General features: G+C 41.2%; 1 protein-coding gene across 1 annotated transcript in view, besides 1 other annotated feature; it reads right to left on the bottom strand.

Annotated features, from left to right (window-relative positions):
• SAMD5 (sterile alpha motif domain containing 5) overlaps positions 1 to 15,857 on the bottom strand; it is a 445,991-nt gene that overhangs the window by 236,615 nt on the left and 193,519 nt on the right. The gene's annotated exons all lie outside the window — the stretch shown is intronic.
• Positions 1,658 to 2,158: an enhancer, noted in NCBI's record as "H3K4me1 hESC enhancer chr6:148037044-148037544 (GRCh37/hg19 assembly coordinates)". NCBI's record gives its function as "activates a minimal SCP1, AML or CMV promoter by ChIP-STARR-seq in naive H9 embryonic stem cells {active_cell/tissue: H9 hESC(naive)}" and the evidence as "EXISTENCE:reporter gene assay evidence [ECO:0000049][PMID:30033119]".

The following is a 15,857-nucleotide window of genomic DNA, read 5'->3' as shown; positions in this document are numbered from 1 at the left end:
AAAAGGGGAAATTTCTCTTGTGAATGATACCACAAATGGAAATCTTGAAGCAAGAACATTTATTGCTTTTACTCCAGATACTACTTAGAAAATCCCAGTTTTAATTTCATATCTTCCAACATTCTACAAAAAGGAAACAATGTGAATATCTTGTTGGTGGCATATCAGAAGGCAGTTTTTTTGTTTTGTTTTGTTTTGTTTTGTTTTGTGTTTTTGAGACAGAGTTTTGCTCTGTCACCCAGGCTGGAGTGCAGTGGTGCAATCTCGGCTCACTGCATCACTGCAACCTCCACCTCCCAGGTTCAAGTAATTCTTCCTGCCTCAGCCTCCCAAGTAGCTGGGACTACAGGTGCCCACCACCTGTAGTTTTTGTATTTTTTAGTAGAAACAGGGTTTCGCCATGTTGGCCAAGCTGGTCTTGCGGAAGACAGTTTTAAAATTCATTGTAGATAATTTTATTTTTCATGTACAAACCAGCACAGATGGAAGGTGAAGGAGAATGGACACGCGGGGTCCTTCCCTTGTTCTGACAGAGTGATTCCTGAGCAAAAATATCTGGAAAACCATTGAGCCAGTTAGAAAGGCAGATAACCTGAGACTTGGGCAGAGTCCGTCCATTCCTCACTGCACTGCCTAATAGCCACTTCACCTTAGTGTCAGAGAAGAGCTTAGCTGGATTTTACGGATCCATGAAAAATCAGAACTGTCCAACTAGGAGAGGATACAATCTGGGAAATGAATATGCCCCCTGGAGTCTCATGAACACCAGTAGAAAAGACCAGTTGTCCATTTTGGAAAGAAATTAAACAACACATACATTTCAAGCTCTGAAAGGGATATTCATTCACTCATTCATTCTTTAATTCACCAACAGTTGTTGAGCATCTACTTTAGCCTAGGTACTGTATAGGCTATGAGGACATAGAGGTGAGTGAGACAGAGACATTTAGCAAGGTGGATCATGCAAAACCTTCAGATGAAAAATTTGGATTTTAGCTAAGTGCAGTGGAAGTCACTGGAGGTTTTAGACAAAGGAGTAATGTGATATGGTTTACATTTTAAATTATGGAGAGATGTATGGAGAATAGGCTGGAAGGAGTGAGGTGGAGCTGAGTAAGAACGTGTCATAAGTCAATCAGTTCAGCTGTACGAAGAGACATCGTAGTCACAGGTGGTGTCAAGATTCAAGTAAAGTTTAATGGGAAGAGATAATTTCCCCTTTTTCCTTGAAAACTCAGAACTTGACTTTCTCTTTCTTCCTCCTTTCCTCTCTTCTGCCTATTTTCAAAATAGAAGTATCTTTAGTTTAATGCAATAAAAGCTGCAAAAATGTGCCAGCAATGGCAGCAGTGACCCATCTAGAGTGGCTGCTGCCATGATGCTGGCTGCACTGTGGGAGGTGTAGCTGGGGCTGGGTGCTCCACAGAGCCGACAGGAGCCGGAAACAGGTGGAAGCCCCACCTCCTTATGAGTTGGCAGGGCAGGAGCTTCACATTCCCTGGGTGCAGCTGTGGCTGCCCAGCCGTGTCTGCAGACCTGGGCATCCCTGTGCTCTTGGGGGCCAGGAACAGGCAGGAGTCCCGCCTTCCCAGGCACAGCTGCAGTTGCCAAGCCACAGCTGTGGACCCAGGCATCTCTGCACTCTCAGGGGCCTGGGAAGGAACCCCTACCCTTGCAGGCTCAGAAGTGTCTGCTCCCACTGCCTGGCCTCTCCCTGCTCCTAGCACCCACTCTGATCTCGGAGCAAGGTTGGGGCTGAGCCAGGCACTGTTGCAGCCCAGCCAGATGTGTGCACACCCAGAGCAGCACTGATGCACCAGTCCCTTGCCACTTCAGCCCCCTCTGGACTTTGGGGGGTGACGAGCACAGGAAGGAGGCCGAGGTGGTGCTAAGGGCAACCCATGCTGGCCTGCAGGCACCCTTTGACAGGAACAGCATAGGTGCCATGAATGGCGGCAGGAGGCAGACAGGCTCCTGGGAGTGGAAGGGGGCAGGTCCTTGATGAAGCTCTGCTTCAAGCCCTGGAAAGCCTGAAAGCCTAAGGGGAGGGATGCCAGTCCCATGGACCAGAGTGGGAACTTATGGTGCTTTTTCCAGGCCTACTCATGGCCACCCATGGACCAATCAGCACGTACTTCTTCCCCTCTGAAGCCAATAAAAGCCCTGAACTCAGCCAGACTCCAGGAGAGGAGGAGAGATGGATGACCAGCTGTGGAGAGGAGCTACCCACTCCAGGTTCTCCTCTGCTGAAAGCTGGACATTCATCAGGACACCCCACCTGCAGAAAGGACCTATCCACTGTGGGTCTCCTCTGAGCTGTTCTGTTGCTCAGTAAAGCTCCTCATCATCTTACTCACTCTCCACTTATCCACATACTTCATTCTTCCTGGACGCAGGACGAGAACTTGGGACCTGCCAAATGGCAGGGCTAAAAGAGCTGTAACACAAGTAGGGCTGAAACATGCCCCTTGCTCGCCTCAATGTGGGTGACAAGAAGGAGAGGGGAGAAGAGCTGCAGCCCTTTGGGGAACCCAGACCTAGGAGCTCCCTGAACAAGGCAGCTCCTGTGACAACCTCTCTGGGGCTCTGTGGTTCCTGGCATCTCCAAGCTTCCAGGCACCACCACATTCCCCAGTGCCAGCTGTGGAAGCTGCTTGCAGTACACCTGGTCCAACCTCAGCCTCAGAGGGAGCCGGCACCCATGCTGGTGCCTGGAGTTGCCTGCCCTGCTGCATCCACCAGTGTGCCTGGCTGTGCACAGTGTTTGGAGCCCATGCTCACTCTCAAACTCCTCACTGCTCTGCGCCTGGCTCACTCTTGGCGGGCATGAGATTTGGGCCAATAGCACGAGCTGAGAGAAGCCTGCCAAGCCAAGAGGGTGGAACAAGCCCAGCAGGCCTGAGTAAAAACTTGGGCAAAGGCACCACTAGCCACAGAACTTTCCAGCTAGAAAAGAAACACCCTAAAGATCCCGTGACACCACTGCAGGAAAGAGTGTAAAACTCTACCCTTTCCTGTAACCTCATGCCAAGAAGATAACCATCATTTACAGTTTCATGTATATATGCCCATATTTTCCCTATGAACATGTAAGCAAATATATGTATTAATAATAGTAATTTGGTAAACAATCATCAGGATTAATAACTAAATTTGAAATGGCTAAGTAATGACCCACAATACAAAAATAATTCAGAAATGGATGGATAAGGAGGAAAACATTCACAGATTGCGTTACTCAAAGTATGGCCCCAAGACCACCTAAGTCATTCGTTTTTTTGGCATTCCTACTCAGTGTCCAAGAATAGAGTCCAGGAATCTGTATTATAACAAGCTGTCCAGATGATTCCAATGCACACTAAATTTGAGAATCACTGATTCAAAGTATATAATTTTTGTCTTAATTAAACAGTGAATAACAATTACACATAGACAAAACCAAAACACCTTTAACTTATCTTTCAATCATAAGAAAATTGGATTATCTTTTCCTAACCATTTAGTCTCTAATATATGTTTAGAAACAGAAAAGCAATTGTCCCCCTCCCCTCTTCCAGGTAGAAGGACCTCAATATATAAGTCAACACCATGCTCATCACTCACTCCTCCATAGAAGGAGGAGAAACTTAACTGACTGACAACTGTGGAGAAGAAGCAGGACGTGCTTCTCCAGCCCCTTCTGGAACTCTCTTTGGGATGCCTTCCCACAGAGTGCATGATTTTCTTCCAATTTCTGCCAGACCATAGACTTAAGAGATACAGCTCATGACTAAGTCAGAAAGTCTATTTGGAAGCCCAGTGTTGCCAGCCAGGCAGTTCACATCCTCCAGTTTACTCTTCAGTAATAAAAAAGCAGACCAAAATACCTACCTCTGTCTGACTTCCATATCTGTCAATTGGCTCCTAGTGAGGTGGGAGGGGGCCTATTTAGTATCGTCACTGAACTTCACTCAACACAATCTCAGTGGGCGAAGGTGCCCATTATTTTCATAACCATTTAATATAAACTTTATGTTCTTTTAGGGCTGTTTTATTTTACTGTTAAGTGGAGTCAGTTAATTCCACAAATGCACAGAAGTAAAAATACAGACCTGTTTTGAGAAGAAGTTCTAAAAACACATCTCAATACATATTTCTTCATAATTTATAGGAAGGGAGGGATGAGGAAGGGACAAGAGGAGAGGAAAGAACAGAAGAGGAAGGAGATGAAAGGGGAGGCAAGGGAAGAGTAAGGGAGGAGAGAAGAGGGGAAAACTGACTACAGCTTACCCTTGTCTCACCCTTTTCTTTGTCATACATACTACTTTTGCTTGGAAAGATAAAGAAATAGCACTGAATTTGGGTGACAGTTCTGTTCAGCTTCTACCCCATACTCTGTGTACAAGCCACCAAATATTATATCACCCTTGGGCCCTAGTTTCCCCCAAACACTCTTGGATAGACACTATGATCTCTTCTACCATTTAACTTTTTCCTGCTCCTACAGCTTATGCATGAGATTTCATGATACAGGGTCATTCCCTTTCCAGATGATGTTGGCTGACCCAGCTCTGCTGCCGCTTGCTTGCAATTCTCAGGCAGAATTTACCAAGAATGCAACATCCTAAGATAATGAGGAGGTATCCAGAACAACCCAGGTTATGTCCTCATTCTTCTTAGAACAAGATGTAGATGTTTTACAGCACTCGACTCGGCAAACCAAGTGGAACCCAGGGTATATAAATCAAGGGTATATACATTCAGGGTCCCAGAGCTGTAGTTTGAGTGTTGTCTCAGTGAACTCATGCAACTGTTAGAGAACCTTTGCATCCTTTGTTTTCTTCAAACATAGCAGAACAATTTTTAAATGTCAAAGTTGTATGTCAGGAAAGCTTGTGAGTTCTCTAAAAGACCAAGGATAGCAGAGTTTGCAAAACGCAGTCAACAAACAGGTATTGCTTTAAGAAGTGATGAGATTATCAAACACAAACATTCTTTCCTTTAAGTAGCAACATGCTTGACATCACAAGCTCTGGACCATGACTCAGGAGGTCTGATCTTTTGTTTCATTTTTGCTGTCAATTTACTGCTTGACTTTGAGAAAAAAATGCTTTGCATTCCCGATGGTTTGAATAATAGTTTATAAAAATGGATCATAATCACTAATAGGAACCAATAAACTGCTCCAATCCTTTTTGTATGAGTAGGATTATTTTAGTCTGCTATAACAAAATATCATAGACTTGGTGGCTTAAACAACAGACTTTTTTTTTTTTTTATAGTTCCAGAGGCTGGGAAGTCTAAGCCAGCAGATTTGGTGTCTGGTAAGGGCCCACTTCTTGGTTTGTAGACAGCCACCTTGCCTTTTCATTGTGTGCTCCCATAGCCTTTCCATGGCACATGCTTCTGCAGAGGGAGATGTCCCTCCCTTTCTGTTCTTAAAAGGGCACTAATCCCATCAAAAGAGTGCCACCCTCAAGATGCTATCTCAACTTATTTGTCTCCCAAAGGCCCCACCTCCAAATACAAGAACATTGAGGGTTAGGCCTTCAACACATGAATTTAGGGAAGAGGGAGAAGCAAACATTCAGCCCATAACATGAGTGGAGCGGAAAAAACATGGAGCTAGGTGACTTTAAGTGAATTACTGTAAGTCTCTGGGGATTAATTTCTCATCTGTAAAATGAGGAAAACTGGATGACAATTTTAACATCCATGTCTGTTTTAAAAGTCTAGAACACAAATAATATTCCTGGAAAAAAATAAATTGTTGTTTTTCTATATCCATTTGATGCTAGTATGTGTGAGTGGTGGCACAGAAGTGGGAGGTTAACTTTGTAAAGCTAAAACTCCAGAATGGCTTTCAAAATATAATTGAGTTGCTTGGCTGAAACTTTACATGCAGAATCAAAGTACACTTAGAAAATATAAAATATAGAAGATAGTATTGTGCTTTAGCTAGCTATAAAGGCCACAAAATATTATGCATTTTAATAACTATTATTTTTAAAAATTCTTATAGTTTCCAATCTCTAACTGATCAGACGAGAGACATTTTCTTCAAAAATTTCTTTATCTCCCCTGTAATGTCTCTTGGATTTCTGTAAGAAAATGCTCATTTCTTTGTCCCAAGGTACTGAAGATACATCTTAGCTTAAAAGATGGTTGGTGCAGACCTCTGAGTGGGCCCCTGGTGTTTATGTAAATAGGGCTTTCGATTGGCAAGCAATTAGCCATTCATGACATTTGACACTGTTACTAATGTCATCAGAGTATCTAATTAAGTGTACTTACGCACATGACACTCCATGATGTAAGGAACTCACAACACAAACATATTTCCCGGTTTCTGGATACCACAAACTTAATACTTCAGCTGAAATTCATTACAATCTGATTACAAATTCAGCAATGACCCCTTTGAAGAATGCAAACCACTATTTTCCAAGAAATTTAATTTGGCATTCCTAGCCTTTTCTTTACTCTCTGCAATATTTTCTACATCCTCAATTAAATGAATCAGCTCTGCTACAGCCACCGTTTATAGTGATTAACAAAAATAGGCCAGTGGGTTTGTTTTGAGCTTCTTTCTATTTCAGCCTAAAGTGCAGGAATCTTGGCTAATGAGAAGCAGCTGAGAATTAGAGCGGCCTGGCTTGATCAAGACTGTGGTGAATACACCAGGTGATTATATGACATCTTTATCTGTCCCATGATATGGCTAGAAATGGGACAGGGAGCACAGGGTCAGGTTGGGGGATCAGGCAGATCTGCATTCAAATCCCAGTCCCACAACCTACGAGCTGTGAAACCCCTGACAATGGGCTGAACTCTCCGAGGCCCACTTTCCTCATCTGTAATTAGAGATAATAATTCCTGCTTCAAAGAGCTGTCATGAAGATTTAATGAAAGAGACTGGTAGGATAAATAATAAGTTCTCCATTAATACCAATTCCTTCTCTCTACAACACCCTCCCACTTCTGATACTTTCCATTGCCCCCTTCCTTCCCTTCCTTCCTTCCTTCTTTTCCTTCCTTCTTTCATTTTCCTTCCCTCCTTCCTTATTTCCTTCCTTCCTTTATTTTCCTTCCCTCCCTCCCTCCTCCCCACCTTCTTTCCTTCCTTCATCACACATATTCTTTTATAATTTGACACTAGCTAGGTAGTGTATATATAACAGGCACAAGACACTGTTTCTCCCTTCAAAGTACTTACTATCCGGTGCAGGAGACAAGTAACAAGTATAGTAGTCCCCCTTATCCAGGGGGGATACATTCCAAGACCCCCAGTGGATGTCTGAAACCATGGAGAGTACTGAACCCCATATATACTGTCTTTTCCTATATAAAACATACCTATGATAAAGTTTAATTAATAATTTAGGCACAGCAAGAGGTTAACAATGATAAAATAGAACAACTAACAATTATAGCAATATGCCAGCATCATTACTCCTGCACTTTGGGGCCATTATTAAACAAAATAAGGGTTCTTTGGGCACCAGCACTGTGATGCTGCCACAGTCAATCTGATAACCGTAACGGAGTGGGCCACCAAGTAACTAACAAGCAGGGAGTGTCTACAGTGTGGCCATGCTGGACAAAGGCACGATTCACATCTTGGGTGAGATGGGGCCAGACAGGGTTAGATTTCACCACATTTCTCAAAATGGCATGCAATTGAAAACTTATGAACTATTTATTTCCAAAATTTTCCATTGAATATTTTTGGACCACAGTTAACCATAGGCAACTAAAACCTCAGAGAGTGAGCCCAAGAATAAGGGCGGGGTAAGTGTACTTTCAATACAGTAATACATACGGGGTGGGTAGGAGGAGCACATGGAAGTAACATTCAACCCAGTCTCATAGCAGGGAAAGTCTAGATTGAGCTGATGGAGAGCAGTAGGTGGCTAGATCAAGAAATCTAGATGTCAGAGAGCTTGTTCACAACAGGAACATCACATGCAAAGGCCCGGAGGCATGAGAAAGCCTGCAACTGCAGGTATTTCTGACTGACTGACAACAGGCACAAAAAGGTAGTTGCAGGAAATGAATTTGGAGGTAGACAGAGGCCTGATCGTAAAGCACTTTGTAGACCTCACTGAGGGATTGAAACTTTATATGGAGGGTAATCAGGGGTGACTGCACAGTTTTAGGCAGAAGCGGCAAGACACAATTGTGCTTTAGAAGTATGGTGGAGGAGGTATAGCAGTTAAGATAGCGAGGCCACAAATGAAGCCTTTGAAGTCCTCCAGAGAAAAGATGATGGGTACCAGAAGGGGAGTAGTTAGAATTTTTATTATCTCCTCTTGGAACTGAGAACAGCCTCAGGAACTTCTGAGAACTTTTGAGCTAATCAAATAAGCTTATCACTTTTTCCACTGTGCTGGGTGTTAACAGTTTATAAGCACGAGTGAATACCTGCTGTTATCACTTGTGTATTTCCTTTGTGACTCATGGTATTTAAGCTACAGTTAGGTCCAGCTAATGACTGCTGTGGAGTCACCTCTCTGGGTGGTGACCAATGTCTTCTTTCTGTGCCAGGAGAGCACTCTTTACAGAATTATCTTAAAACCAAACCAAAGCAAAACAAAACCCTGATTAGCCTTCTAAAGAATCAATTTGATTATGGTTTAATTTTATGTTTGTGTGGAGAGGGAGAATAGTTCACAAAATAAAACTCCCCCACCTACATGACCTTCCCTAACTGCTGCTATGACTTCGGAAGAACTATTAGTGTTTAACAAAACATGTTGCATCAAAGTAGCTGAAGGGCAGAGTAGTTAGAGAATCCTAATATCTTAAGAGATTTGCCAATCCTGACATTTTTATAAGAAATCCAGGCACCTAAGAAATTACTCAAAATTATAATTTTACCAAACTTCAAATTAGAAAGAATTATTCTTCAAAGGTACAAAATAGGAAAATAATACTTATTTATCTTGAAGAATAGCTTGCAAATAAAAGAACTTTCTTTAAGTTAAAAAGGGTAACTTGGCATGTAAAGCTGATATTTAAAAAAATGTTCCCTAGATCCACATAAATACAGCCACCGCTGATTATTCAGAGAGGAGTATGAGTGAATAGCAGGAGGCAACATTTTAACACTGGCAATTTTTAAAATTATTTGGGCTTGCACTATTTCTTTGCCAGAAAGCAATGAAGTGCGAAACCAATCCAACAAAACCAGACAGACTGGGACACCACTGCTTACATATTTTTACCAAGCATTCAACTTGCAGACACCATCTGAACCCTATGGTTCAAAATCATAAATCCTTCTGTGAGGCTCATTTGTTATTATTTGGGCTCATTTATCATCCCCAAAAGACAACCACAAAGAAAAACACAATTGGATACAGTCGATCCATAAATGCTCTTATGTTTGCAGGGGGCCTAATTTAAATAAAAAGAAACTTACCTGAATTTCCTTCCAAACCTAACTTCCACATCTACCCAGGCTTTAAGGATTCAAATATATTTCTAGAAATATTTCCACTTCTGTTCCCTTCTCTAGCTCTGATCATTTTATCAAGCTCCCATTTGCTGAGTGTCTTTATGCACCATAAGCTCTTCACAGTGTCTGATCTATTTACAACTGGAGTGTAAGGTAAGTTGTATTCATTTGCAAGGGCTGCCATAACACAGTACCACAGACTGGGTGGCTTAAACAACAGAGATTTCTCATAGTGAAAGGAGAGGCTGGAAGTACAGAATCAAGGTGTCAACAGGGTTGGTCCCTTCTGAGGGTTGTGAGGGAAGGAACAGCTCCAGGCCTCACTCCTTGGCTCGCGGATGGCCGTCTTTTTCCTGTATCTTTATGATGTCTTCCTTCTGTCTATGTTTGTGTCTAAATGTCCTCTTCTTCTGAGGACATGAGTCATATTGTATTAGGGCCCACCTGGCTGACCTGATTTTAACTTAAGTACCCTCCATAAAGACCATATCTGCAAATACAGTCACATTCTGAGGTTCTGGGGTTAGGATTTCAATGTATGAATTTGGGAAAGGAGATCTGGCACAATTCAGCCCATAACACAGGTATAATAGCCTCACCTTACAGGTGAGGAAATTTGGGTTTGGAAAGTCGGAGGCCAGAAAGATGGTAAGTTGTGAAGTGAATATTCTGGATCTTTTTGATTGCAAAGAGCTCCTACTCCCCACCCTAAATTGCTCCCTAACCTTAACCCCACCCCATATCATATCTCAACCCCCTCATCCCCAGCCTCATCAGTGGTATTACTGATGAAGCAATCCAGAAAAATACTTTTCCACCAGAGGCAAGGAGAAAGGTAAACAAAAGCACACTGAATGCTTTTCTTCAGTATCTGTTTAGTATGGGGTGGTAATAAGCATCTTAGTCACAGAATGTAAGAAAACTTGACCCTGCAATCTAGGAGCTTTCAATTAATGACAGACCACACCAATGCAAACAAGTTCAAAGGACAGATGCTAAACTCTGAATGAATGTCTCTAGTAACTAAATAATGAAAATTTTACATTAAACACAAGCAAAGAGATAAGCAGGGCTGGGAGGAAGTTGAGGGTGTTTCCTATTTAGATCAGGCTGGTCTGAAGGAAATCTTCATCTCTCTTCCTGTGGGAAGGGTTTCAGGAGCCTCAGAGAACCACTCAGTTTTTCATTAATTCATTACTTTAACACCATTGCAGCCTTTCAACATTTTGTTCACCTTCACTGTCAGCAACATATTACTATTACAAACTCTGTAAACATGCTTCTGAACAAAATGGTGTATTCACAAAAAATTTTAATTACTTAAGTCATAAAAAATCAGTCTAGCATCAACTCTTCTGAAAGTTTGGTTCTATATTAAAACATAAAAATTAGCTGAAGAGACATCTTGCTAAGCTTCTCAGTCACTGAAGAGCAAGTCAAGAAGTCCACAATATTCTTACCAATATATAAACACTGGAAAATGTTCCTTCTAAGCATGATAAGGATGTGAACAACAGCACCTCTCTAATGACTAAAACTTCTGTTCCTCAAAAAACACATCATTAGCCAACAACTTTCTGGCAGAAGTTGCCTTTAATTGGCATTTGTACATAACCAAGTGTTAGTCTGTATTTACACCGTAAGTTAATTTGGACAAAATTAAAAGCTAATTGATCACATATCTCAACCTCAGTCATAAATAGTGTGGGCCCAAAATATCAGTCTCCCCATGGATTTATGCAGACGATTTATGGGGAACCAGAGGAAGGCCATTTTTCAGCATTGTCCCAATGAGTGAATTAATTAGAGAAACATTAATTTTAGCTTCTATTTTAGGGACAATGAATTTAAATACAGCCACACCTTGGTATACACAGGAGATGGGTTGCAAGACTCCCTGCATATAGCAAAATCCACGCATACTCAAGTCCTGCAGTTAGCCCTGTAGAGCCAAGTACCAGAAAAGTCAGGCTTCACATCCCCAAGAATTCTGTATTTTCAATCCATGTTTAGAATAAGTGGACTCTCACAGTTCAAACCTGTGTTGTACAAAAGTCAACTATACTGTTTTTCCTCTTTCCTTCATAAAGACTTGTCATGGCTGGGTGCGGTGGCTCACGCCTGTAGTCCCAGCACTTTGGCAGGCCAAGGTGGTCAGATCACCTGAAGTCAGGAGTTCGAGAGCAGCCTGGTCAACATGGTAAAACCCCATCTTTACTAAAAAACTACAAAAATTAGCCAGGCATGGTTGGTGGCGGGCACCTGTAATCCCAACTACTCAGGAGGCTGAGGCAGGAGAATTGGTTGAACCTGGGAGGCAGAGGTTGCAGTGAGCCAAGATCGCGCCACTGCACTCCAGCCTGGGTAACAAAGTAAGACTCCGTCTCGAAAAAAACAAAAACAAAAAAACCCAGATTTGTCACAAGGTAAGCATTATTGGTCCAAGACACAATCATAACCAAATAGTTAAAATTTCTTATAATGCAAAACTTGTCAAGGAAACACACACACACAACACACAACACGCAACACAGACATTTTAATCCACTTAAATCTAGGAAATGGCTCCAAGCTCAGGTATGTAAAGGAATATGATACATAATTATGGATTGTTAAAAAATAAATATAGAAACAAACATACAAAAATCATCTTTCTGGTTTCTCTGGATGGGATTATATCCAGTGGAAAACTTCAACCCACTAAAAGGCCTAACAATGGATCCTTATTGTTGGAAACTATAGTGTTGTCCTCAAACAGTAATATATTTTAACCATTTCTCCTAATCCCACTGAAGAGCCCAATGACACAATTCCAATGCATATGTAAATAATTACTAAGCAGCAGATAATTATGCCCAAATCAATAGCTGGACAGCTGGGTTACTCTATGTCAAAACCTAGGCAATTCAACAAAAGCTCCCCTAAGGAATATTCTCAGTTGTTATGGTGAATTTTGCTGTTACTTTTGCATTTTGATTGATTAATACACAATGCACCTTGGCATGTTTTCTATTTGGAATGCAAAATGCTGGTAACACATGAGAGGATACAGTAGAATTCTCCTACTATTTCTTAATGGAATTTTGCTTTAATCTTTCAGAAACACGGCAGAAATCTGAAGTTTCTTTTGTATCTTAAAAAAACAATAATCTAAAAATAATATGATAGCATAAAATGAATATTTAAATGGATAGATGCATCAATAAATTATTCTAGGAAAATTATTCGTTTTAAAATTTTAGGAAATTATTCTTTTTATAATATCAAAGCAAGGAGTTGATGGTTATTCTTGGAGATTTATAAATCTGACACTATAAAGTATATAGTTAACTTTATAGATATCTACATTAGTTCTAGGCACTCATGGAAAGCACATATCCTCTACTCAGACAATACATATAATATTAACTTTCCAAGGGAATGGTTTTTATACAGGAGAAGAAAAATGAGAAGGACACTCAGAATATTAAAATATATTTCATTAGACAGCAACAAAATCTATTCCTTCTCCAGTTTTCTTACTGTCTTACAAGGTTCGCCTCTACCTTACTGGTCTAGTGGGGAGAATTCTAACATCTTTTATGCACAAGTGTTCCAATCTTCTTCTCCTAAATCACTGCTCACAGTTCCCAGCTCACTTTCTCAGTGCCAACAGCCATAGTTACTGGTGACAAAATGTGGCGTTTCATACCAGATGCCCCCTGGGGATGACAAGTTCGAGTTTAACGGATGTGCTATCTCAACCAGACTGGTAACATGATTCGGGGAGATGGCCTGAGCTCACTCAGCTAATCCCCAAGGAGGAACAGAAAAGCTTCAACCAGTGCTTTTGGCACCACTGCACATTTCCATTTCATCTTGTATTTTTTAAAAAACACAGGCTCCCTTTCCTCTTTGTTAGCTACCCTTTGAAAGAATGGACCTCATGTATTTCCATCCTTATTTTTGTCAACCTTAAAGGGATCTGGTTATCTTTCTTCCAAGGCCATCATCACACAGGAAAACAATATATTCTTCTTCCAATCTTTCCCACTCCACACCCCCACTACCTGTCACAGCCCTTTTTTTTTCTGATTTGCATCAGAAATATAATTTGTAATTAACTACAAATTAACTATAGAATTTAAATTTCTCTTCCGGGATTACTAGAGTAGTTCAATCTATTTTGCATCAGTTTCTATTTGACATGTGTATTTAAATGTAATTTTTTCATTAGAGAGATGATGAGTGAAGAACATAATTTAATAGAGTTGTGCCTAATACAATGAGAAGGGTTTGGACAATAATTACAAGTAGGGATTTTTTTTTCTAGAAAATTAAATGTTGAGGGCGCCTGTATGCCTCTTTTTGTAGGCCACATCTTCTCCTATCTTATGATTCCTCTTGTAAAATATTAAAACTAAGGTGTTTCAACTAAAGGGTTTAAAATAATGGCCAGGCGCAGTGGCTCACGCCTGTAATCCCAGCACCTTGGGAGGCTGAGACAGGTGGATCATGAGGTCAGGAGATCGAGACCATCCTGGCTAACACAGTGAAACCCCATCTCTACTAAAAATATAAAAAATTAGCCGGGCATGGTGGCATGAGCCTGTAGTCCCAGCTACTCAGGAGGCTGAGGCAGGAGAATGGCGTGAACCCAGGAGGTGGAGCTTGCAGTGAGCCAAGATTGTGCCACTGCACTCCAGCCTGGGCGTCAGAGCAAGAATCCGTCTAAAAATAAATAAATAAATAATAAAAGAAAATAATGTAGAATTTCCAAGTATAAATAGGTGTGTTTCTAGATACTAGATTTTCAAAGGAAATTTTTTTACATCTTTTTACACCAGCACTGCCCATGGATGCTTCCTACTTCAACCTCATCATGATAAAGACAGGAGTGCTCACATGGAATGTACTTACTCTTCCACAATATCTCTAAATTGTACCACTCAAAACATTGTCTTGGATATTTTTGGCCATCTCTAGCATAGAGAAAGGAGATTGTGATTTGGACTTTGTAGCTCAAATATCTTGCCCACCCACTTCTCCCAAATAAAACAAATACAGCAAAGTCAGAACAACCTGGCAATATGTAAACCAGGGTCTTCCATTCTTTGAGGTTTTGCATGATAAAAGTTCTCGTGTGTGGAAATGTGTTTCATTATCAAACTACTTAATGGTAAGATACCGTTTGGGCTCTGCAAACAATAGGGACCAAATGAAATGCAGACCGTCAAAATCAAGTCTAAGATTAACTATTCAAATTACAAGTGAGTAGCCGGGCATGGTGGCTCACGCCTATAATCCCAGCACTTTGGGATGCTGAGGTGGGCAGATCACCTGAGGTCAGGAGTTTGAGACCAGCCTGGCCAACCAACATGGTGAAACCCCATCTCTACAAAAAATACAAAAATTAGCTGGGTGTGGTGGCAGGCACCTGTAATCCTAGCTACTCGGGAGGCTGAGGTGGGAGAATCACTTGAACCTGGGAGGCAGAGGTTGCAGTGAGCCGAGATCATACCATTGCACTCCAGCCTGGGTGACAGAGCAAGACTCCTTCTCAAAAAACAAAACAAAACAAAAAAACGAAGTATAAGGGAATGAACAGACAAGGTATTGTAACACATGGTGAGTAGAAATACAAAACTCAAAGGACAAAATATATTTTAAGGTCCTTCCTGAGTTCCCCACCTTCAATTTCTGGACATTTGGCCCAAGAGAACAGGCTCCTTAAGGCCTAGTTATCAAATACAATTCAAGATAGAAAAGATTTGTATGTAAGCTTTCTGGGAAACAGGCAGACAGACAGACACACACACACACACACACATATACAAATAGACTAAACACTGTTTCTAATCCTTAAAATATCAGAGGCCAGCAGCTCCACTGGTCCATTATTAACAAGGCCACTTAATGGAACAGTATTAGGAGCACTCAGTAAAATTCACAGCAAGAGAGCTTGCACCCAACTGAACTTGTGATATTAAATAGTAATCATCTGACCACAAAATGGTGAATTTTTCCCTGTCACTTGTACATGAACTCCTAAATTCTCTAGCTTCCCAAATTATTTGTATTAAGCAATAACCTTCACACACCATAATTTTTATTAGGATGCTTTATCCCTAACTCTGTAGAAAATCTTTTATCACCAAATGTATCTAGTGTTTCTCCTCTGTAAATCAGTTCAAACATATGTCACCCCTTATCTATTATTCTGAGCTTGCTCAAATGTTCAACCTCCCAAATGTTTTATTGCCTCTCATCTAGAGTTTCAAAATTTTGCATACTGAATTTTACCTGGGGGAGTCTGATATAGTTAGGCTGTGTCCCCACCCAAATCTTGAATTATAGCTCCCATAATTCCCACATGTCCTAGGAGGTACCCTGTGGGAGGTAACTGAATCATGGGGGCGGGTCTTTCCCATGCTGTTCT

Source organism: Homo sapiens, chromosome 6 (assembly GCF_000001405.40).
Source record: "Homo sapiens chromosome 6, GRCh38.p14 Primary Assembly".
Lineage (NCBI taxonomy): Eukaryota > Metazoa > Chordata > Mammalia > Primates > Hominidae > Homo > Homo sapiens.
Note: the sequence above shows the minus strand (reverse complement) of the source record. Positions and strands in the feature narration are given on the sequence as shown.